This window comes from Homo sapiens, chromosome 16, assembly GCF_000001405.40.
Source record: "Homo sapiens chromosome 16, GRCh38.p14 Primary Assembly".
Classification (NCBI taxonomy): domain Eukaryota; kingdom Metazoa; phylum Chordata; class Mammalia; order Primates; family Hominidae; genus Homo; species Homo sapiens.
Window position 1 is genome coordinate 50,228,891 of NC_000016.10, and position 20,559 is coordinate 50,249,449.

A 20,559-nucleotide genomic window follows, 5' to 3' on the forward strand; every position below is an offset into this window, starting at 1 on the left:
CTTTGCATCCCACACACTGTTAAGAAGGCGGGCGAGTGGTCTATGCTTTTCATTATTTCCATTAAAATAAAGTAAGGGTTTTAGAGCTAAAAAGAACCCCTGTAACAGCTTTTTCTGCCCACTAGATAAGTCAGTGATCAGTAAGGTAACAATCTAGCCAGCATATTCCTAGTTTTGAAAGCTTCCCCAAATCCAGGTGTTTGAGAACACTCTGCTTTTCTGCAATACTGATGTCTTTGTGGTCGTTTTCTGTTTCTGCAGCATGGATCAGCAAGGCTCTTTCGTTCTTCCAGCAAAGGCTTCCAAGGTACAACTCAAACAAGCCATGGTTCCTTGATGACAAACAAACAACATCAAGGCAAATCCAATAATCAGTATTACCATGGCAAAAAGAGGAAACACAAGAGGGACGCGCCCCTCTCAGACCTCTGTAGATAGTCAGCGCTGCGCGGTGGACTGTCTTCTCTGTGCAATGATCTCATGCTCAGGACAGTTGCGCAGGGACTCCTGGGAGATATTCAGGAGCCTCACACTGTTCAGACGTTGACTTAGCAACTGCGTTTTTTCCCAGCTCGCCACAGAATGGATCATGAAGACTGACAACTGCAAAAAAAACAAAACAAAACAAAAAAAAAAGCAAGCAAAAAAGAGGGAAAAAAAAGGCTGCTTATTTGATAAGTCATATGCTACAACAGGGTCATTTTAAGATTTAAAGCTTGAATGTAAAATAAATATATTTCTCATTGGCTTTATGCAGAGTTATAGGGAATAGTATTCAGTGTTGGTAGGGTGATAGAAACAAAAAACAGTATCAGAGGATGAGGTGGGGAAGGAAAACAAAGGTATCTGATAGGAAGTCCAGATTCCAAAGGGGAAAGTGATCTGTGCATGTTTTTTTTTTAAATATTTTTGCATATATTTACCATTTTATTGTGTGTATATATAGAAGACCATATAGGAGATTGATATTTGTAATAGTGGATTTGTTAATAATACTTTTTACATAACATTACTGTTTAAATTGTAAACAGATTTTTTCTCAGGATTAGTTTGAAAAATAATCTAAATTGTCATCTTAACATCCATATATAGGGAAGTGATTAGTTCTATTACTCAATTTGTTTTTCTCAGCATTGAAATGACTTAATAGAACCCTTGTGTCCTGCTGCAAAAATTTTTCCTCTCTAAAGAAAAGGTTTATGGTGGCAAATGATGTTTATTTTATTTTGTAAAAAAAAAAAAATGTACTATGTACTTTTGTGTAAACACTGAAAAATCTCTGGTCATCTCCGAGAATTAACTTGCAACTGTTTTCTATAGTGCTGTCGTCTTGGGCAATGGGCAATTACATGACTTTGTGTTTGCTTCCTTTGCAGTCTTTTTTTTTTCCCCCCATTTCTTCCTAATAGGAAAAAAAAAAAAAAAAAGGTCACCCATGTCTGGTCTCATTCCTGTTGCAGTGAAACTTCGAGTTCCACAGACTTTGCATGCTGGCTTCTCTAACCCTGTGTGCTGCGTGTGCCTGTTTCTCATCTCTTATTCTTTTTAAAATTCATGCTTAACTACTGTGGGAGAATAACTGTAAACAGCTTTAATTAAATCATACTTATAAAAAACTATTTTCTTATATTCCACTCTATGCTTTTGGTATTGTTGATCTTTACAAATTAAATGGTCTTTGATAATGGATCTATTTTGTATTGCCTTATTAAGACCAAATACTTCTTGTCATCCCATTCTTTATCCTCTTCTTTCATGGAATTGTTATCGTTAATTAAAACTTTTTTAAACATTGGCTTGTTTCAATCATACTGTAAATTTTGGTTGTAGTCAGCTTTGAGTGCAATGAGATGTATAATTCTGTTATCATTACCTGTTGAGTTTGAAACTCAGTTGGGAATATTTAATATAATAGAATGTAAGTGACATTTCTGAAAATGCTTTCTTTCAGGGTGAAAGCTCTTATGTTTAGCATCAATGTGTATGGCTCTGTTAAATGCAGCCATTTCTGAGACGAGATTCTTTTATATATATATACATATAAAGTACTATTGGCTTTTAGGAGTTTCTTTTATATACATTTATGAAATACTGAAGACCAATCAGACCATTAATGGACACTTAGTGTAACTTTTTATAAAGAAAATAATGCTAAAGTAAGACCAAAACTGATGTCATCACTGAAATTAACAATTTTCAATATGTTCATATTTTAATTCACAATGGAAAAATGTGTTCCAAAACTGGAAACTCATAGTACTCGTGTAAACTGTGGAAGATTTCAAATGTGATGTTATTTTGACAATGTTTTAAATTTTAGAGTCACATTTTATTCTGATCAGAATTTTTATTGAGATGTTGAGCTTTTGTTTTTGAAACTAGTTTGTCATAACATTGTGCATAATCACAGTATTTATTTTCTAGGACAATTGTGAATGTGTAGACTTATGTTTACTGCTAAGGGAACAATTATTTATAAAATAATATTAAATCCAGTATTAGCTGCCTATTTCAGACACTTAATACTTGCAGAGATCTATGTTACATTTACCACACTGAAGTTTTTTTTGTTGTTTTTTGTTTGTTTTTAAAGAATCACCCTCATTGTTGAAAGTAAATGTACTCTTAGGGTGCGAATATTAGTGTTCCAATAAGCATGTGATTATATTAAGGTGGTGGTAGCGGGAAGATAATTCTGATTCCATTGGGAATCTTAGGTTTTCGTAAATTTATTGGGAAAATAGTTTTTCCTGTACTGCTGAAGTTTCTTTTTGGTAAACAGTATCTTTCTAAAAGAAAAAAGCATGAAGGAGAAATTGAGGTGTGTATACATTTCCTCAAATGACCAGCATTGTATTCGTGAATACTGTGTATCTTGCAGTGAACAGTGTGGAAGCTGTTCATTTTTCAATCTGAAGTAAAATACTTTCAAGAACTTTTAGTTTGCCTGCTCATTTGTTTTATACATTTCATCTATTTGACTCCTATCTTATTTCTTTTTTGAGTTTTAATACTTCCTATATTTTGTGAATATATCAGAAATGTGTCATTTATATATTAGAGTCCATTCATATCCATGAATCATAACCTTCCTTTGCTAATACTTGTTGAATGGGATTTTACAAATTCTCCCTCACTCTGGTGACATTTCTCAGGCAGTCATGTATGTGTACCTGGCCATTAGAAATATTAATATTTAAAGACTGTTTTTTAGAGGAGCTGATGGGTTGGTGAGGTGTCAGCACAAAATCTTACTGGTTATGTTTTGATGATAAAAGTATATCCATTTTTTCCCTCCAGCTTTAAGGTGACTGTGAAGGTGCCTGGTTTTGAATGTCTTTGTTTGGTTTGGAGATGTCGCACTCAGTTTTCAAATCTAGCTTGGATCTGTAGGACCTATGTTTTTTACAAGTAATTGCCCTCCAGTCTTCAACAGTTGATTCTGTTTTATTTTTATCCTGTTTTGAGTGTACTTTACCTTTACTTGCATTTTGAGCCTCATTAATATTTAGGTTATTTGATTTGGCTCCAGATATTCCTAGATCTGCACAGGGCAAAACATGGGCTATAGGGTGAGCATTTTTAATTGTCTTTTTCTGCTGGAACCTTATATCTCTCCATGTGTTTTCTGCTCCTTCCCTCCCCCATGAAATGGTAAGTGTGACTTGTGTTTGCCTGAACCTGTGGACTAGTGTTTGGGGTTTCTGGAAACACTAGAGGGTCAGAAAAGAGTAATGACCACCGTGACGTGCAGGATTCTCTTGCTGTGACATGTTCATTGCAAAGCCCTCTCCAGTGACTAGGAGGTGTAGTTATTAAGGTTGATCTGTTAGAAATCACCATTATTAGGTATTAGTGGTAGATGTTGCTGATACTTTTATTGGTCATGACTACATCTCAGTTTTACTTTAATATTGATCTATAGTTTGATCAGTTCCTTGAATTCTAATATGTTGATTTCTCAGTGTTTCTGTCACTAACCAAGAATGTTTCTAGGCAGTTGGTTGCTTCACAGTCAAAACTAAATGGTAAACTATCAAAAATACATTCCCAATTTTGCTGTGATAAATATTGAAATGTTAAAATTAATGAACAGAAGAATTTATTCTTACCCATCTATTCTTGTTCTCCTAGTTCATTAAACTTTCAGTTATTGGAAAGGCACATTCTCAAAGTATTTTATGAGCAAAATATTCTATAAATGCGTCTAACAAACCTAATTGAATATAAAAGTTATATTTAGTAGTTACTGTTGATAGTAATTTTCATCAGGGTCATAGTTCATCTAGTAAAATATTTAGAGAATGATGTTAACATTCCAGCATTAAAGTGGGAACAAAGATTTATATATGAAATTCCTTAAAAGAGTTCATCTTGCCTTGGTTTCTGACCCTCAAGACTCTAGCTACCTGCCATCTTGTCAAAACATTTGTGGGTAGAATAAGTGTTAAAGATCAAATTTTAATATGCTTCTCGATATTTAACATAGCTAAGAAGCCAGATTTTACTGTAGAAGTTATTTACATGATTTGAAAACTTGACCTAACTGGAAGCCTTTTTCTCAGTCATCTTGTTCTAAGCCATCTTGACTTCACACCCTTAGCGACTTTTCTTTTTTTTTTGGTCAAAGATAATGAGCTAAATATATATAGACGTTGAATGTTGACAAAATTATTAACCAGAAAAATTGCTTATAAAGGCTGCTGATCTATTTGATACCTAGAATTAAATATTTGAGGACAGTTTTTAGTTAATAAACTGCTAATGTTTATTTTACTGTCTCTCAGGTTTTTGGTTTTTTTAAAAAAAATGTGTTTGGCCTTTACATTTTCTACTTAAGTGTGTACTTTATTGAGTTTAACCTTGTCTGTAGCCTAGTAGCCTGAAAGAAAAGGAGACAGAACCAGAGAGATGGATGTAGTGCATTCCCTTTGGTTATTACACATTTGTGGTAGCTCCTGGATTTACTGAGAGATATTTTAGCTATGTCAATAAGAACAGCTAATGATGTGGAAATCAGGTGTTCTCTTGTGTATTTCAGTGAACATTTTTATTAGTAGTTGCATATCATCTCTAGTTCCACATTTTAACTTAACGTCTTTGTGGCTTCACCACTGAGCTACCTTTCACTACACCAGCTTCTGTGTGGCCTGGTAACATGGAAGGTCTCTCCTAAGGACAGTCTGGACGTATTTTGGGGGAATGTTATTTATCTTAAAGATGCCTAGAAACAAAACGCATATAGTACCAGTGAGAAACTATGAAGTAAACAAGTTGCTCAGGCCGGGCATGGTGGCTCACGCCTGTAATCCCAGCACTTTGGGAGGCCGAAGCGGGAGGATGGCTTGAGGCTGGGAGTTTGAGACCTTCATCTCTTAAAAAAACAAACAAAAACCTGAATGGTGAGGTGTGGTGGAATTGGGTAGGGGAGGGAAAGGAGGACTTGGAAAAGCATTCTCCAAAGCCAGCAACTTGGTGAAGTTCAGTACTTGCCTCTTAGAGGTTAGGCCATGCCTTTCAAAGAGAGTGAAATGATGGGTTATCAGCCACATTCTTGGAGTTAATATTTTTCTTCATCTTTCAGTTTGGGTTCTGTGCTATTCATAGTTCTTCCCTAAGACCATTTCATTATTACCTTTTATATTTAGTTGCAATTTATTATAATATGTTGTTTTGTCCCTGAACTTAATCTCCTAATTTTAAGATCCTCTCTGATTTTTGCATATTGAAACTTACAGAAGTCACTTTAAAAAAGTCTTTTGAAAGTCCTACAATCCTAAAATAAATCACAAGCTTGTTTGTTAGACGTGTCAAGAGTCTCCAGTCTTTACTACTAAAAAGCAGCACTGCCTTAACACACATTGTTATGGGTGAAAAGTGAGGGACGACCAGTGTAGTTTCTGGATATAAAGTGTGAAGGACTGTTGAGTTAAACATTTTTAGTGGAATATACATAGATAACGTGTATTTAGAAACTTTGGTGAAGCCAGTATTTGTTTTTAGTAACCTTTTTATGTATTTCCTTCTTTGATTAGCATTGTCTTCAGTGTTAAGAAATGTGGACTCCTGTGAGGTGCTGGAGGTTTGAATCATCTTGAAAACTTTCCAATCTTGTCTAGTTACCACTGCAGAGACACTAAGGAATTTACCAGAAAAAGATATTTGATACAAGTGATTTAAGAAATCTCAACATTTCCTGAGGCCGTATCACTGGGCAACCAGTGATGAAAACTATGAATGAATTGCACACCTGGAAGATTTTTTAAGCTAATGACAGTTTCTTCAAAGATGTCAATTATTTGCCTTGGAAATTTTATAAATTGCATTTCTATGCACATCGGCCTCTAGTGCTTACCACTCGGTTTATTATTCATAATCTGCAATTCAATAAAGGCTTTGTGTTTTCATTTATCTTCAAAACCACTGGTATGAGCCCTTATGTAAAACCTGAATGACTACTTTTTCTAAAAAAAATTTAAAGACAGCTCTGTTTAGGCAGGTTTTCTTGTGCACATATGGCATTTCTGTGGCTGGTTCTCTAAGCTGGATCTCTAAGCTAGTTCTCATCCTTTTTAATGCTAGTACTGGGAGATGCTTGAGGATGCTGTTTTCATCCTACTCTGTCCTAGACAATATTTGGCCCCCACAACAGCCATGGAAGATTATAGAAATTGATCTCATAGAATTTGGTTATTCACAAATACCAGCCCAGTTTCACCCTCTACTTTAATGCAGGGGATTATGCCTGCTATACTAAGAAAATGAAATGCATTACCATAGGTTGGGCAGAGCAACAAGTAACAGATCATTACAACAGAATAATGAAAATAGTTCTCCAGAGAACCGAGAGAGGCAGGGTTAGTAACCAAAGTGCAGCCTAAGGCGTGTCTCAGAATTCTCCCTCAGCAGGGGAGGATTTGGTTTAGACTGGTCTGTCTGCCTGGGACCCAGCTGAGCGGTGGCCAAAAAAAAATCCTGGATAGTTTCCTGTAAGATAGTCCCAAACTGGCTTAGAGTGAAGGTGCTCAGCAGCATGTAGACAACTGGCGGGTGAAACCAGACTGCCCACTCCAGCGCGATGTCTTTTTTTTCCCCCCCTTTTTTTTCTTGAGACAGGGTCTCACTCTGTCATCTAGGCTGGAGTGCAGTGGTGCCATTCCAGCTTACCGTAGCCTCAACCTCCTGGGCTCAAGTGATCTGCCCACCTTGGCCTCCCAAAGTGCTGGGACTACAGGTGTGAGCCACCACACCTGGCCGATTGCTGCTGCTTAAACCTCTGCTGCAAGTGCTCACTTAAAAAAGGCAAAAAAAAGCAAAATCCTTCGAAATATTATCCCAAAAGTTTCTCAAATATGATAGTAGAGAATGAACTGAATATCCATGACAATTTTGTCCATCTACCTAGACATAGTGAATTATTTCACAAGTAACATATGAATGTATGTTTTATTGTGAAGAAATGTAAACACTTAAGTAAAAGGATCTAGCTGCACTTCAATCCCTAATCCCACTCATCAACCCAAACCCATCCATCTTAATATTATGGGACGTATCCTAGATTTTTTTTCTATGCATTTGTACACATGAACAAGTATAATTTTAGGGGGTCTTTTATCCTTTAACACAAATGGGATCGTATTGTAGTTTTCTGCAACTCCCTTACCATATAAAGATGTGTTTCCAGGTCAGTACACATGGAGATATATTTCATTTCCTTTTTATTATGCTGACTTTAGCTTGCAAGTTGCTTTGGTAAATTAATGTGTCAGACACATCAAAGCTAACAAATTAATAGAAATATCCAGTATTTTTCAGCTTCCCTTTTGTTTTTAGAGAGAGGGTCTTGCTCTGTTGCCCAGGCTTACTGCATCAGCTTACCTTGAATAGGGATTTTCTAAAGTACTGCTATTTGATGACAATTTTCTTCTGAACCCATTTTACTAAGGAAAAAAACTTTCCCACAGTTTTACATGTAAAAAAAATTTTTTTTTTGGCCAGGCATGGTGGCTCATGCCTGTAATCCTGCACTTCGGGAGGCCAAGGTGGGAGGATCGCTTGAGGCCAGGAGTTCAAGACCAGCCTAGGCAACATGGTGAAAACCCATCTCTATTAAAAAATACTAAAATTAGCTGGATGTGGTGGCATGTGCACATAGTCCCGCTACTCTGGAGGCTGAGGCAGGACATTCGCTTGAACCCAGGAGTCAGAGGTTGCACAGAGCTGAGATCACATCACTGCACTCCAGCCTGGGCAACAGAGACTCTTTGAGACAGAGATTCTGTCTGAAAAAAAAAAAAAAAAAAGAAAAGTGAAGAGATGGGGCGGGGGCGCGGTCTCACCATGTTGCCCAGGAACTCCTGGCCTCAAGTGATCTGCTCATCTTGGCCTCCCAAATTGCTGGGATTACAGGCATGCATCACCACACCTGGCCGGTTTTACATTCTTTTAAGTTGAATTTTCATGACTTGCTTTGAAAACTGTTTCATTTGATATTTTTGCTAGGTTTAAATGTTATAAATATAACATGGTCATCTGAAACAGTGCTTTGCTATTTTTTCTATACTTTATTTCCACTTTTTAGAATATGTCACCCTTGGCAAAACTGATGAAACAGTTACATTGGTCATTCACCACGTACCCCTTAAAAATCTTTTAATTTCAAGACCCTCCAATAACTGCAGCAGCAACAATTAAAACTCCCACTGAAAATAAGTTACCTGTCTTAGCCAGGTGTGGTGGCATTCGCGTGTAGTCCCAGCTACTCAGAAGACAGGCTGGAGGACTGCTTAAGCCTAGAAGTTGGAGGCTGCAGTGAGCTACGATGGTGCCACTGCACTCCAGCCTGGGTGACAGAGTGAAACCCTGTCTCTAAAAGAAAACAAATAAGTTATCAAAAAAAAGTAGGATGGAATTAATTTTATGATGAGTAGAGGGACGGAACTCAGGTGAGAAAAAGAATCCAGTTTTGGGGGACAGAGAAGGCAGAGTACTGCCTCAGATTTTGTTGGGAAAATCTGTGGGAAAATATGTTGGAAAAGAGAGGAGGATAAAATGTAGCTGTGGGACTGATCTCCCTAAGCCAGAGCAGTGCAATGATAGGTTTTTAAGGAGATATTTTCCTTAAAATCACTTTCTTAGGCTCTCATTATGTGACTGTAGAATTTCTGCTTTAATTGGCCGGGTGTGATGGCTCACGCCTGTAATCCCAGCACTTTGAGAGGCTGAGGCGGGTGGATCACTTGAGATCAAGAGTTCGAGACTAGCCTGGCCAACATGGTGAAACCCTGTCTCTACTAAAAATACAAAAATTAGCTGGGTGTGGTGGCACGTGCCTGTAATCCCAGCTACTCAGGAGGCTGAGGCAGGAGAATCGCTTGAACCTGGGAGGCTGAGGTGGCAGCGAACCGAGATCACACCACTGCACTCCAGCCTGAGTGACAAAGACTCTGTCCCCCCCCCAAAAAAAAAAAAAAAGAATTTCTGCTGTAATTTCTATTCTTTGGAAAAGTCTTTTCTCGGGGCTGGGGTTCTCCCTGTGTTGCCCAGGCTGGCCTCGAACTGCTGGGCTTAAGTGATCCTCCTGCCTCGGCCTCCTAAGTAGCTGGGATGACAGGCATGTGCCACCACACTCAGCTCAGTAAGTGCATTATGAGATGTACTATGTTTACCAGTTTGGCTTAGGAATGCAATCTTTGACTTTGAAGTTGGAAGAATTTCACCTTTTAACCTTTCAAGTAAAATGCTTTATATTTCTTGCTTGTCTAAAGAAACCATGTTAAACCCAAACTAATAATCTAATAATTCATTTGAGAAGTAGTATAAATTTGTGTGTGTGTGTTGCAGAAGACCTTTTTTCTTGTATTGTAAATTGACAATATATAATTATGTATGTGTGTGCAAGTGCATGTGTGTGTTAAAGCAAGTAACTACTATTTGAAAATGTGAGAGTAAAATTTTGTTGAAGAGGAACCATCCAACGCACAGCTGAGACTAGAGGTAAAAATGCCTTAATGTTTAATGTCAACATTAAAAGGAAAGGAGAGAGTTATTAAAAGTAGCAAGTGGCTTATTTAAATGGTGTATCAATTTTCAAAAGAGTTATTGCTCAATTTAGATTGTAAACCACTTTGGTACTTAAATCACTCAACAGGTGGCCTCGGGAATGTGGCTTTCCACAGCACCCTTCAAAATAGTCACAAGGTGGGTTACGCCACACATCTTTGTTTTTAAGAGTCCAATTTAAGAAAATTGTGCTTTCACGTGCCAGACATCAGTGCCTAAGATGTCTCTGCAGGGAGATGTGAGGTTAGCAGGTGGCACAGGGAAGCCTGTTGAGACAGGTGCTTAAGCAACACGGCAGGGCACAGGGAGGGCTGCAGAGGTGCTGGGGAGGTGGGCTGGGCCCTGCCAAGACAGGTGAAAGCAGGTGGATAGGACTAGGGCACCAGTTTTGTCACAGTTTAAACACAAATAGTGTTTTATTTTATTTTTTTTAAATAGATAAGTCTGGCTGTCTTGCCCAGGCTGCAGTTCAGTGGCTATTCATAGGTGCTATCATAGCACACTATAGTCTGGAGATCCTGGGCCCAAGCCATCCTCCCACCTCAGTCTCCCAAGCAGCTGGGACTACAAGCACTTTGTCCCCCATCCCTCCTTCTACTTTCCCCCTTTTCTAAGGCAGCTATTTCCAACTTTTTGTGTTTTTCTGAGGTGCTGTGTTTACCTCCATGTCTCTAAATAATAGACCTCTATTGCCACGTCTTGATTCTTGATTTTTAGTTCTTGAAATTGTGTTGACTTCCTGCCACCCCTGAACTGCTTCTGTGCCCTAGCCTCCCAATAGAGTTAAAATGAATTTCGTTTAGCTCAATAGTCAGTGTTCACATTATAGTGACTGTGTAAGGGCTGTTCTTATCAACTGAGCTGTGTAATATTTCTTTATTTATCATTTTAAATTTTTTTTGAGGCAGGGTCTTGCTCTGTTGCCCAGGCTAGACTGCAGTGGTGCAATCAAGGCTCACTGCAACCTCAACCTCCTGGGCCCTAGTGATCCTCCCTGCCTCACTGTCTGATTTTTTTTGTTTTTTGTTTTTTGGTTTTTTTTTTTTGAGACAGAATCTTGCTCTGTCGCCCAGGTGGGAGTGCAGCAGGGTGATCTCAGCTCACTGCAACCTCCGCCTCCTGGATTCAAGCAATTCTCCCTCCTCAGCCTCCTGAGTAGCTGGGATTACAGGCATGTACCACCATGCCCAGCTAATTTTTGTATTTTTAGTAGAGATGGGGTTTCACTATATTGGCCAGGCTGGCCTCAAACTCCTGGCCTCAAGTGATCCACCCGCCTTGGCCTCCCAAAGTGCTGGGATTACAGGTGTGAGCCACTGTGCCCAGCCTGAACTGTGTAATATTTCTTTTTCCGTGCAAGTTCTTTTTGTTTTTCCTGAGTTTTTCTTTTCCATGTTGTTTACTAATTCCCCCTAAACTATGCCAATGTTCTAAGCCCCTCCAAATGCTTAGCACATAAGGTATTTTATCACTGTCATCTTCTCAGAGGCACTTGTCCTGGAGTTTCTGGCCAGCTGTGCCCAGCACACAAACTTCATCCTAAATGACGCTTTTCTTCCATGCATCCCATGGGGCAGCTCCTCTCCTATGTGTCTTATGTTTCCCTCTTTCTTGATAAACTGTTTCCTTTCATTGGTGCTCATCCCCCAGTAGCTTTCTGGAAGCGTGCAGGCAGTAGACATCCGAAAATATTTTTGTTCTTCATTTACACTCAATTGTTAGCTTGGCTGGATATAGAATCCTGAGTTGAAAACATCTTTCCTCCAGAATTTGAAAACATTGCTTCATCACTCCCAGCGTTGTTGTGAGAAGTCTAAAGCTAGTTGTAACCTTTCTTTTTGAAACTTTTGGGATCTCCTCTTTGTGTTCTGAAATGTCACTATTATGAAAGTTAGGCGAGTCTGTTTTCATCTACTGCACTGGGAACTTGATGTGATGGGGCATCTGATGTGGTACTGCATGTCCTTCAGTCCTGGGAAACTTCTGGAATTATTTTTTCCCCTCCTTTCTGTTTTCTCAGGAACTCCATAACTATTCAGGTATTGCATCTCCTGAACTGATCCTCTCATTTTAGCTTTTCTTCTCTATTTTCCATCTCTGACTTTTTGTTCCACTTCCAAACTTTCTGTTGTTTTTAAATTTCTGTTATCATGTTTTTACTTTCCAAGTCCTTTTCTTGGCCCCAGATGTTCCTTGTTAAAAAAAATAGTATCCAATTTTGTTTCCTAGTTACAATATAGGTTTGGAATCTCTGAGGATATGAATGGTATCATTTTGTTAGGTTGTTGTCTACCTGCATAGTCCCTGTTAGCTTTTTTCTCATTTGTTGTTTTGGACTCTCTGTGGGGTTGAGGCTGTCCATGGATTTCTGGTGATTCCTGGTTACCTGCACATATTTAAGAGCTGGGGGGAAGCTCTGTCAATCAATATGGCTAAGTCAGTGGTGTGCTTCTGTAAGAATTAGCAGGCTGTGGGGTTCCCCAAAGAATTCCTCCAGCCTGGGGGTAAGGCTCTGGGCCACCAACATCCTGGGAGCTGAGGGTGGAAGAGGGCTAGTGTGAGGTGGGGGGAGGCGTGTGTCCCAGCCTTCCATGTGAATTTGCCTTTAAAGTTTTCCTGTTTTCAGTTGGGTAGCCCTGCCCACAGCTGGGCTTGGTGTTCCCCAATTCAGAGACTGTCTATTTTACCTTCTTCCAGAGAAAAGGCTTACCGGTTCCTGCTGGGGTAGGGGAAGGACTGGCACTCTTAGCTGCTTCTTAAATTTTCTTTTTTTTTTTTTCTTTTGAGATGGAGTTTCACTCTGTTGCCCAGGCTGGAGTGCAGTGGCATAATTTCAGCTCACTGCAACCTCTACCTCCTGGGTTGAAGCAATTCTCCTGCCTCAGCCTCCTGAGTAGCTGGGATTACGGGCATGCACCACCACACCCGGCTAATTTTTGTATTTTTTTTTTTTTTTTTTTAGCCGAGATGGGGTTTCACCATGTTGGCCAGGCTGGTCTTGAACTCCTGGCCTCAAGTGATCTGCCCGCCTCAGTCTCCCAAAGTATTGGGATTACAGGCATGAGCCACCTGGCCTTCTTCCCTTTTCTAATTAGAAATTATGGTTGAGCGCGGGGCCTCACACCTGTAATCCCAGCACTTTGGGAGGCCAAGGTGGGTGGATCACCTGAGGTCAGGAGTTGGAGACCAGACTGGCCAACATGGTGAAAACCCATTTCTACTAAAACTACAAATATCAGCCAGGGGTGGTGGCGGACATCTGTAATCCCAGTTACTCCGGAGGCTGAGGCAGGAGAATCGCTTGAACCCAGGGAGGTGGAGGTTGCAGTGAGCCAAGATCGTACCACAGCATTCCAGCCTGGGCAACAGAGAGACTCTGTCTCAAAAAAAAAAAAAAAAAAAAACCTCATGAGCAGTATTGCCTGTGCTTAGGCACTCACTGAGCTTCTGTCCTGTGGCGAGCACCACTGGAGGAAGTGTGGGAAAGCAGGGAGCTCTTCCTTCCTCGGGGACAGGCAGCAAGGACCATCTGGCTGAGGAGGCTAACGCCACGCTCTGCGTAGTGATGCATCAGGAGGCTGTAAAAGGACTGAAAGGACAGGCACCGCTCAGGAAACTTTTATATTCTCCTACTTGGCTGTTGTTCTCATTGCCTGGTGAAGGGCAGGATTAAGGTGGCCGAAATACATGACTGTTAGCTTCTGTTGTGGTTGATTTTAAATTTTTAAATCTTCTCGTTGCACAAGTGAAATAAAGCCCCAAACTCTTGCCCACCACAGAAAGTGACTCGGGCAACACATGCAGAGTGCCCTGGAGCAGTGGGCACTGGGCACTCATAAGTTAGGAGGGACCCCAGGTCACTGCGTTCTGGAGCTTATCAACACAGTGGATAATTAAAATCATAAACACGGCTGGGTGTGGTGGCTCATGGCTGTAATCCCAGCACTTTGGGAGGCCAAGGTGGATGGATCATTTGAGGTCAGGAGTTCGAGACCAGCATGGCCAACATGGTGAAATCCTGTCTCTACTAAAAATAACGAAAATTAGCTGGGCGTGGTGGTGGGCGCCTGTAGTCCCAGCTACTTGGGAGGCTGAGGCAGGAAAATCGCTTGAACCCGGGAGGTGGAGGTTGCGGTGAGCTGAGATTGCGCCACTGCACTCCAGCCTGGGAGACAGAGCAACACTCTGTCTCAATGAATAAATAAATCATTAAAATCACAAACACATTAGATGTGGACATCTGGAGACTTCCTCATCTGGACAGAGACATGCAACTTTCAACAGCAGCTCTTCCGTGTGCATTCAATTTCCCATGCATACTTCTCCACTCCAAAATTACTAACGTATTTTCTCTTATAGGTTTCATTTTCAAACACAAATATCTTTCCTCTATTAGTTTTTGTTTGTTTTTTTAAAAAGACAGGGATCTTGTTATGTTGCCCAGGCTGGTCTCAAACTCCTGGGCTCAAACGATTCTCCTGCCTTGGCCTCCCAATAGGTAGGACTACAAGCTCATGCCACTGCTGGTGTAAAATTTTTTTTAAATAAAAATTAAACGAATTTTTATTAAAAAAAATTTTTAGGCCAGGTGCAGGTGACTCATGCCTCTAATCCCACCCAGCACTTTGGAGGCTGAGGCAAGAGGATCACTTGTGCCCAGGAGTTTGAGACCAGCCTGGATAACATAGTGAGACCCTGTCTCTACAAACAAACAAAATAACCAGATGTGGTTCTGTGTGCCCATGTCTCGCTATGTTGCCCAGGCTAGGGTGCAGTGGTGCGATCACCACTCACTGCAGCCTCCACCTCCTGGGCTCAAGCGATCCTCCTGCCTCAGCCTCCCAAGTAGCTGGGACCACAGCCACGTGCCACCAGTTTATCCAGCTGTGGCTTTAAAAAAAAAAAAGGCGCCATTCCTTTTCCTTTCTGATTTGAAGTGCCATCCTTGTCACAAATTAAACTCACCTGGATTTTAAAAATACTGCATATTCCCAGACCCACCCAAGGACCAGAATCTCTGGGAATGGGACTCCAGCCTTATTTGGAATCCAGTGCCTTAGAGCCTTGCTACCCAGTCTGCCAAGGACCAGCAGCATCAGCGTAACCTGGGAGTGAGACAGAAGTTAAGTCTCAGTACGGACCCAGTTCTGCTGAATTCGAAACTGAGTGGAGCCCAGCCATGTGTGCCTTCACCAGACCTCTGGGTGAGTCCGTTGCTGGTTACCATTTGAGAATCCCCTATTGAGGACTGAGTATCCAACGGGGTGATCCCGCTGACAGGTCCACAGTGGCGATGAGGACCATGGGGATGATGGATATGTCCCGAAGGTTCTGATGGGAGCAGTTATGCAGGCACGGTGTATAACTCACTTTCTCCAGCTCTGTTTTCCTGTCTGCTGTCAGGAGACTTGCTCATAGATTTGCGTGAAGATGACACACAGATGACGGGCTGGGAAGTCATAGCACTGTTCCACACACCGGAAAGGGCTGAGGGCTCCTGGCTTGGAGAGCACTGAGTGTGGGTCCCAGCAGGACCCTCCCTCCATAGCTGGCTCCGCTCCCCTCTCTCTTTCCAGGGCTGACCTTGGCAGAGGTCACCGTGACCCTGAGGCACTGGCTGTTCTGAAGGCCTTGGGGAAACAGGTGGGTTTCTTCGTTTTCAAGGTTCTGCTAAAGGGGTGGGGCTGCCGGGGGTGGGCGGTGCTTTCGGAAGCTGGCTCTGCTGATGATCCTATTACCTTTCTTCACTGCTGCCGGGATTCCCATTACCGGCGCAGGGAGGCCCCAGCTGCTCAGATCTTCCCGGGTGAGCCCTCAGGATGCTGCAGTGACCCGGCCAGGGCCCTCCACGGGGAGGCCGATGAGTAGTGGAGTCGCACCGGCCCAGAGAGCCAAATGCCACCATGCTTGATGCCCGGGGGCTGCACGAGCCCAGAGGAGCTGCCTGACCAGCGCGGGAAGCCGAGAGGGCTTGCTGCTGCTGGGATGTAAGTCTCAGGTGGGACCTCTCTGTGGCCATCTGGAGTGGAAATCAGAGGCTCCACCTTCCAGCCTCGGCCATCTGATTTCTCAGCATGGTTTCAACGTGGGTGGCCTGAGGCTGGGTTCCAGGCCCACCGCGGGGGGCAACGCCCTCCCACACCAAGATCTCTCCCCTCTAGGGTGAGCCGGGGTAGCAGGCTCCAGGATTCCACCATAGGTTCCCAGTAGATCAGCGTTTCTGCTACCTGTTTGTCATAGATTTCCTCCGTGCTTGTTAAACTACAGACTCTCTGGCCCTTTCTATGAAGACCTGCTAGGGCCTTGGGGGTCGGACCTGAGAAATCGGCATAACAGGTGCTTCTGTAACCCCTCTCAGTGAAGTGGGAACCCCCAATTCCTGGGTACCAGGGAGCTTTAGACCAGTGGGAAAGGGCGGGATTCATGGGGGTCTGCGAGTGAGAAATGCCCTCGTAGACTTGATTACTCCTGCGGACGACCTCCTCTGCCCCTCCCAGGGTGACTCACAGGAGGCTTTCTTGCTCACCCTGTCTGAGTTTCTTGGAAACAGAGCAGATTTTTTTTCTGCCAACACTGGGGCCCCACCCTGGGTTGCAGGGATCACAACGAGGTTACAACACCTACTTTCTGAGGACACCTACAGGGGTGGTCGCTGTCATCTCCCGCCCCTGAGCCCTGCCATAGGAGGTTAAGGCCTGAGTGAGACGTAAGGCGGGACCAAAGCTCCCCCGGCTTGGGAGGAGGGCACTGGCCCGCCGTCTGTGGATCCTTCCAGAAACACGGGCGCTCCTGCAGGGGGAGGGGAGGCCTGGGGCAGAAACACTGGAAGAGTTTGCTAGAAAGTGTTTCCCTCTGGGGGTGGGGCCGGCCTGGCGCTCCCCAGCACGTGCGCGCGGTACCTGGAGAAGGTCCTGCTGGGACGCCTTTCCTTCCTGCGGCGCCCCGAGCTTGCCCGGCCGCTCCCTCCCGCGGCAGCGCCTTTCCCACGGTTCTAGGGGAGCTGGGGTGGGGTGGGGTGGGGTGGGGCGGGGCGGGGACAGCTGCGCTTGCAGGGTGGACGCGGCCTCCTGGGCGCCCCCCAGCCCCCAGCCCCCCGCCCCGGCTCCCGCCCCCGCGCCCCAGGCCTGGGACACGCGGCCAGCGGGGGGCGCCTGCGGCCGCTCCTCCTTCCCCGCCCGCGGTGAGTGCCGGGCCAGCCCGCTGCCACTGGGGCGGCCACTCGGGCGGCGGTGGAGCGGGAGCGCGCAGCAGGTGAGCGCGGGGCGCGGGGGAGCGCGGCGGGCGGGCCGGGGATGCGCCCGGGGTCGGGGGTGCCCGTGGCCGCTGCCCCTCTCCGCGCGGTCCCCACACAGGCGGGCGGGTGGCCCCTCTCCCGGCCCGCCCTTCCCCGGCCTCGCGGGTGCCCGGCGGTGGCGGCTCCTGCCCGGGTGGGTCGGAAATGCTCCGAGACCCCTCCCTCGGGCCACGACCTCCTCCCTTAGGCACGGCCAGGAGACGCTTCCCAGACGCTGCCCCAGCTGGCGCCCGCTTTCCGATAACAAGACTGAGACTCGAGGGAGGCCGCCCGGCCCCAGACCCCTGTGGTGGAGCCCGACTGGCTTAGGGCACAGAAGGGGGCTGGCTCGGGGCGGCGGGGCCTGTTGGAAGCAAACACTGCACAGGGTAGCAGCCTCTGTGGGCGCAGGACCGGGCTGTGGGTCTGCAGCGCTCCCGCCGGAGCCAGCAGCGAGCAGGACCCCTCGGTGGCCAAAGGGGACCAGGGTCCAGGGGAGAGTGAGCCAGGCCCGGCCCCTGCCTCGGACCCCAACCGGGAAACCCAGATGCCTTGCACATGAGGAAGTGACAATGGGAGCCGACCCCGGGTAGGGGAGAGAGGCTGGAGCCTCTCCATGGATTGGAGTTGTTCCCTTTACTGGTTTATGTCTCAGGTCCCCTCCCTCAAAGGCCAGGAACTCCTTTCTGAGTCCCAGAGCTGAAGCTGGAAATGACCACGTGGGCGCCGTGGACAGAAGTAGAGCCCTTAAAATGAGGAACAGGATACCCTGTGTGGTCGGCTGAAGCCCCCTCGGGCCTGGTCCAGAGTGATGCTCCAGAGATTGAATGAATGAATGAATGAATGAATGAATGCATGACCAACAGGACTGTAGTGAACTCCGGGTGAGGCTACAGCTGTGGGGACTTAGGCAGGGGCTTTGGGCCCTGAGAGGAGGGGGTTCTCAGGTTCAGTGAATGCCTTCAAACGTGGGCAGGTGCCCTTGTAGAAGGGAGTTTGTGGGCTGTGGAGCTGGGGACAGGCTGTGGGGAGGGGTCAGACTCCAGGTCTATGGGGGGACCCCACAGGAGTGGCTGACTGGGCCTGGGGAGCAGAGGTGAGAACCCTGCATGGTGAGTTGGGTCCATATGCGGAGGCAGGATTTTTTTTTTCTTGAAACAGGGCCTTGCTCTGTCCTCCAGGCTGAAGTGCAGTGGCACAATCATGGCTTACGGCAACCTCCACCTCCCAGGCTCAGGTGATCCTCCCACCTCAGCCTCCCGAGTAGCAGCTGGGATTACAGGTGTGCGCCACCACGCCTGGCTAATTTAGTAATTTTTTTTTTTTTTTTTTTTGGTGGACGCATGGTCTCACTATGTTGTCCAGGCTAGTCTTGAACTCCCGGGCTCAAGTGATCCTCCTGCGTCAGCCTCCCAAAGTGCTGAGATTACAGGTGTGAGCCACTGTGCCCAGCCTTTCTTTCTTTCTTTCTTTTTGACTCCTGATTTTATGATTCAGTTTCTTTTCCATCTGAAGCAGTCTTCTGTGGCTGGGAGCCTGGCTTCGCAGGACCAGGTGTTCTAAAGCTGCCTCTCCTCTGCTCGTTCGGGATCCCCAGGTGCTGGGTCCTCTTCCCTCAGCAGCCACACAGGCCCTAAGTGCCCTTGGGCTTAAAAGAGTGGGTACTTTTGGGCTTTTTACAGAGGAGAGCAGGGAGAGCTGAGGCTGCTGAGCCCTCCCAGGGAGCCCTCCAATTTCCCAGGCCCTTACAAAGCCCCTGCGTATCCCTTGTATCTTTAATCATAAGTTAGGCAGGACCCAAACGACCAGTCCCATTTGCAGATGAGAAAGCGGAGGTCCTCACAGGTCTGGTAGCAAGGAGCCGGGCTGTTCTCATGTGTTCTTGGTGGAGCTGGTTTGGGTCCACATCAGCGAGCCTGAGCTCCATCCCTAAATGCAGAATCAAGTGGGCCTGGTGAGTGCCCGACCACGGGCAGCACACATTCCCTGCCCTTGCCCCGCCCACCTCTCCCTCTTCCTGTTCGTACCCCATACCCAGAAGAGCCCTGGGGCTTTGCTCCTGACCCCCACCTCTTGGAGCCCCCTTCTTGATGGGCACAAAGGAATGTTGCTGATGGAGAGGGGCCTATGTCCCCTCCTCCCCATCCCTGCTGAATCCAGCAAGGGGTGGCCTGTGTCTGGGCAGGAGGCAGAGAGCTGAGTTAGGCATGGGCCCTGCCATGGCCAGTAGGGGAGACCAAGTGGATGCACTTTGACGCCAAACACTCACACTGCAGGCAGGCTAGGCTGTGCTTTTGCGCATTGAAGGGTAGGCAGGGGCCGTTACTTTTTACAGATACCCTGTATAAAAATTTAGGGTATCTTTGGGGGAGTTCGTGGACAGATCATTTTCTTATTTAGTCGTGCTTTCTGTGTTTTCAAAATTGTCGGCAATGAGGAAGAAAAGCAAAACTTTATTCCCTTTGTGTTTGCTCTGGTAAATTTTCAAGAGCAGTTCTGCTGCATCTGAATCTTAGAATTGGGTTTGCAAGATGAGGTCTGGAGGCTGATGCCAGTTTCTGAATTTGACAGGATATCACGTGGTGAGGTTCCAGGATTTTGAGGTATTTCAGTACACAATAGCCTCACAGCCTAACAGAACGGCCTGGGACTCAGGTGGACGATACCCTTTTGGTCGGTGGCAGAGCTTCATGTCACCTCTTCCGCTGTGTGTCTGCTGGGATCTGTGGCTCATGGCGGTTGGGAAGCTATCTGGGTCCTGCCTCCTCTTCCCAGATACTGCAGACTGTGTGTGGCCCCCTTGAGTGCTTTCTGCTCTCTGCGTAAGAGCCTGCACCACTCCCACCTCCCAGGCCTTGCCCTTTGCTGTGCCTTCTTCCTGTAAGCCTTCCAGCATGGTCCTATTGTGTGTCTTAGCAAGTACTCAGGCTCTGGCCTGGCGCAGCGGCTCACACCTGTAATTCTAGCTCTTTAGGAGGCTGAGGCAGGCAGATTGCTTGAAGTCAGGAGTTTGAGACCAGCCTGGCCAACATGATGAAACCCCGTCTCTACTAAAAATACAAAAATTAGCCAGGCATGGTGGTGTGTGCCTGTAGTCCCAGCTACTTGGGAGGCTGAGGCATGAGAATTGCTTGAACTCAGGAGGCAGAAGTTGCAGTGAGCCGAGTTAGCGCCACTGCACTCCAGCTTGCTCTGGGCGACAGAGCAAGACTCCGTCTAAAACA

At 45.3% G+C, this 20,559-nt stretch overlaps 2 protein-coding genes across 17 annotated transcripts in view, besides 7 other annotated features; both read left to right on the forward strand.

Moving 5' to 3' along the window:
* Positions 1-6,420, forward strand: part of TENT4B (terminal nucleotidyltransferase 4B) — an 82,400-nt gene extending 75,980 nt beyond the window's left edge. For all 10 annotated transcript variants that reach the window (NM_001365323.2, XM_047434476.1, XM_011523275.4 and 7 more), the window contains one exon: positions 262-6,420. In NM_001365323.2, the coding sequence (NP_001352252.1) occupies positions 262-438 (177 nt within the window). In that variant the 3' untranslated portion in view covers positions 439-6,420. The remainder of the gene's footprint in view (positions 1-261) is intronic.
* Positions 15,437-16,149: an enhancer, noted in NCBI's record as "H3K27ac-H3K4me1 hESC enhancer chr16:50278238-50278950 (GRCh37/hg19 assembly coordinates)". NCBI's record gives its function as "activates a minimal SCP1, AML or CMV promoter by ChIP-STARR-seq in naive H9 embryonic stem cells {active_cell/tissue: H9 hESC(naive)}" and the evidence as "EXISTENCE:reporter gene assay evidence [ECO:0000049][PMID:30033119]".
* ADCY7 (adenylate cyclase 7) overlaps positions 15,809-20,559 on the forward strand; it is a 73,437-nt gene continuing 68,686 nt past the window's right edge. For 5 of the 7 annotated variants that reach the window (XM_047433552.1, XM_047433563.1, XM_011522837.4 and 2 more), the window contains exon 1: positions 17,280-17,313. The gene's annotated coding sequence lies outside the window, so the exon portion shown is untranslated. Of the gene's footprint in view, positions 16,050-17,279; positions 17,314-20,559 lie in introns of those variants that run through there. The other 2 variants (XM_047433551.1, XM_047433560.1) reach the window with 1 other exon arrangement.
* Positions 16,150-16,861: an enhancer, noted in NCBI's record as "H3K27ac-H3K4me1 hESC enhancer chr16:50278951-50279662 (GRCh37/hg19 assembly coordinates)". NCBI's record gives its function as "activates a minimal SCP1, AML or CMV promoter by ChIP-STARR-seq in naive H9 embryonic stem cells {active_cell/tissue: H9 hESC(naive)}" and the evidence as "EXISTENCE:reporter gene assay evidence [ECO:0000049][PMID:30033119]".
* Positions 17,137-17,396: a silencer, noted in NCBI's record as "silent region_7478". NCBI's record gives its function as "represses an Ori minimal core promoter by ATAC-STARR-seq in GM12878 lymphoblastoid cells {active_cell/tissue: GM12878}" and the evidence as "EXISTENCE:reporter gene assay evidence [ECO:0000049][PMID:35858748]".
* Positions 17,417-17,656: a silencer, noted in NCBI's record as "silent region_7479". NCBI's record gives its function as "represses an Ori minimal core promoter by ATAC-STARR-seq in GM12878 lymphoblastoid cells {active_cell/tissue: GM12878}" and the evidence as "EXISTENCE:reporter gene assay evidence [ECO:0000049][PMID:35858748]".
* Positions 17,417-18,286: a biological region, named in NCBI's record as "H3K27ac-H3K4me1 hESC enhancer GRCh37_chr16:50280376-50281087".
* Positions 17,575-18,286: an enhancer, noted in NCBI's record as "H3K27ac-H3K4me1 hESC enhancer chr16:50280376-50281087 (GRCh37/hg19 assembly coordinates)". NCBI's record gives its function as "activates a minimal SCP1, AML or CMV promoter by ChIP-STARR-seq in naive H9 embryonic stem cells {active_cell/tissue: H9 hESC(naive)}" and the evidence as "EXISTENCE:reporter gene assay evidence [ECO:0000049][PMID:30033119]".
* Positions 17,737-17,796: a silencer, noted in NCBI's record as "silent region_7480". NCBI's record gives its function as "represses an Ori minimal core promoter by ATAC-STARR-seq in GM12878 lymphoblastoid cells {active_cell/tissue: GM12878}" and the evidence as "EXISTENCE:reporter gene assay evidence [ECO:0000049][PMID:35858748]".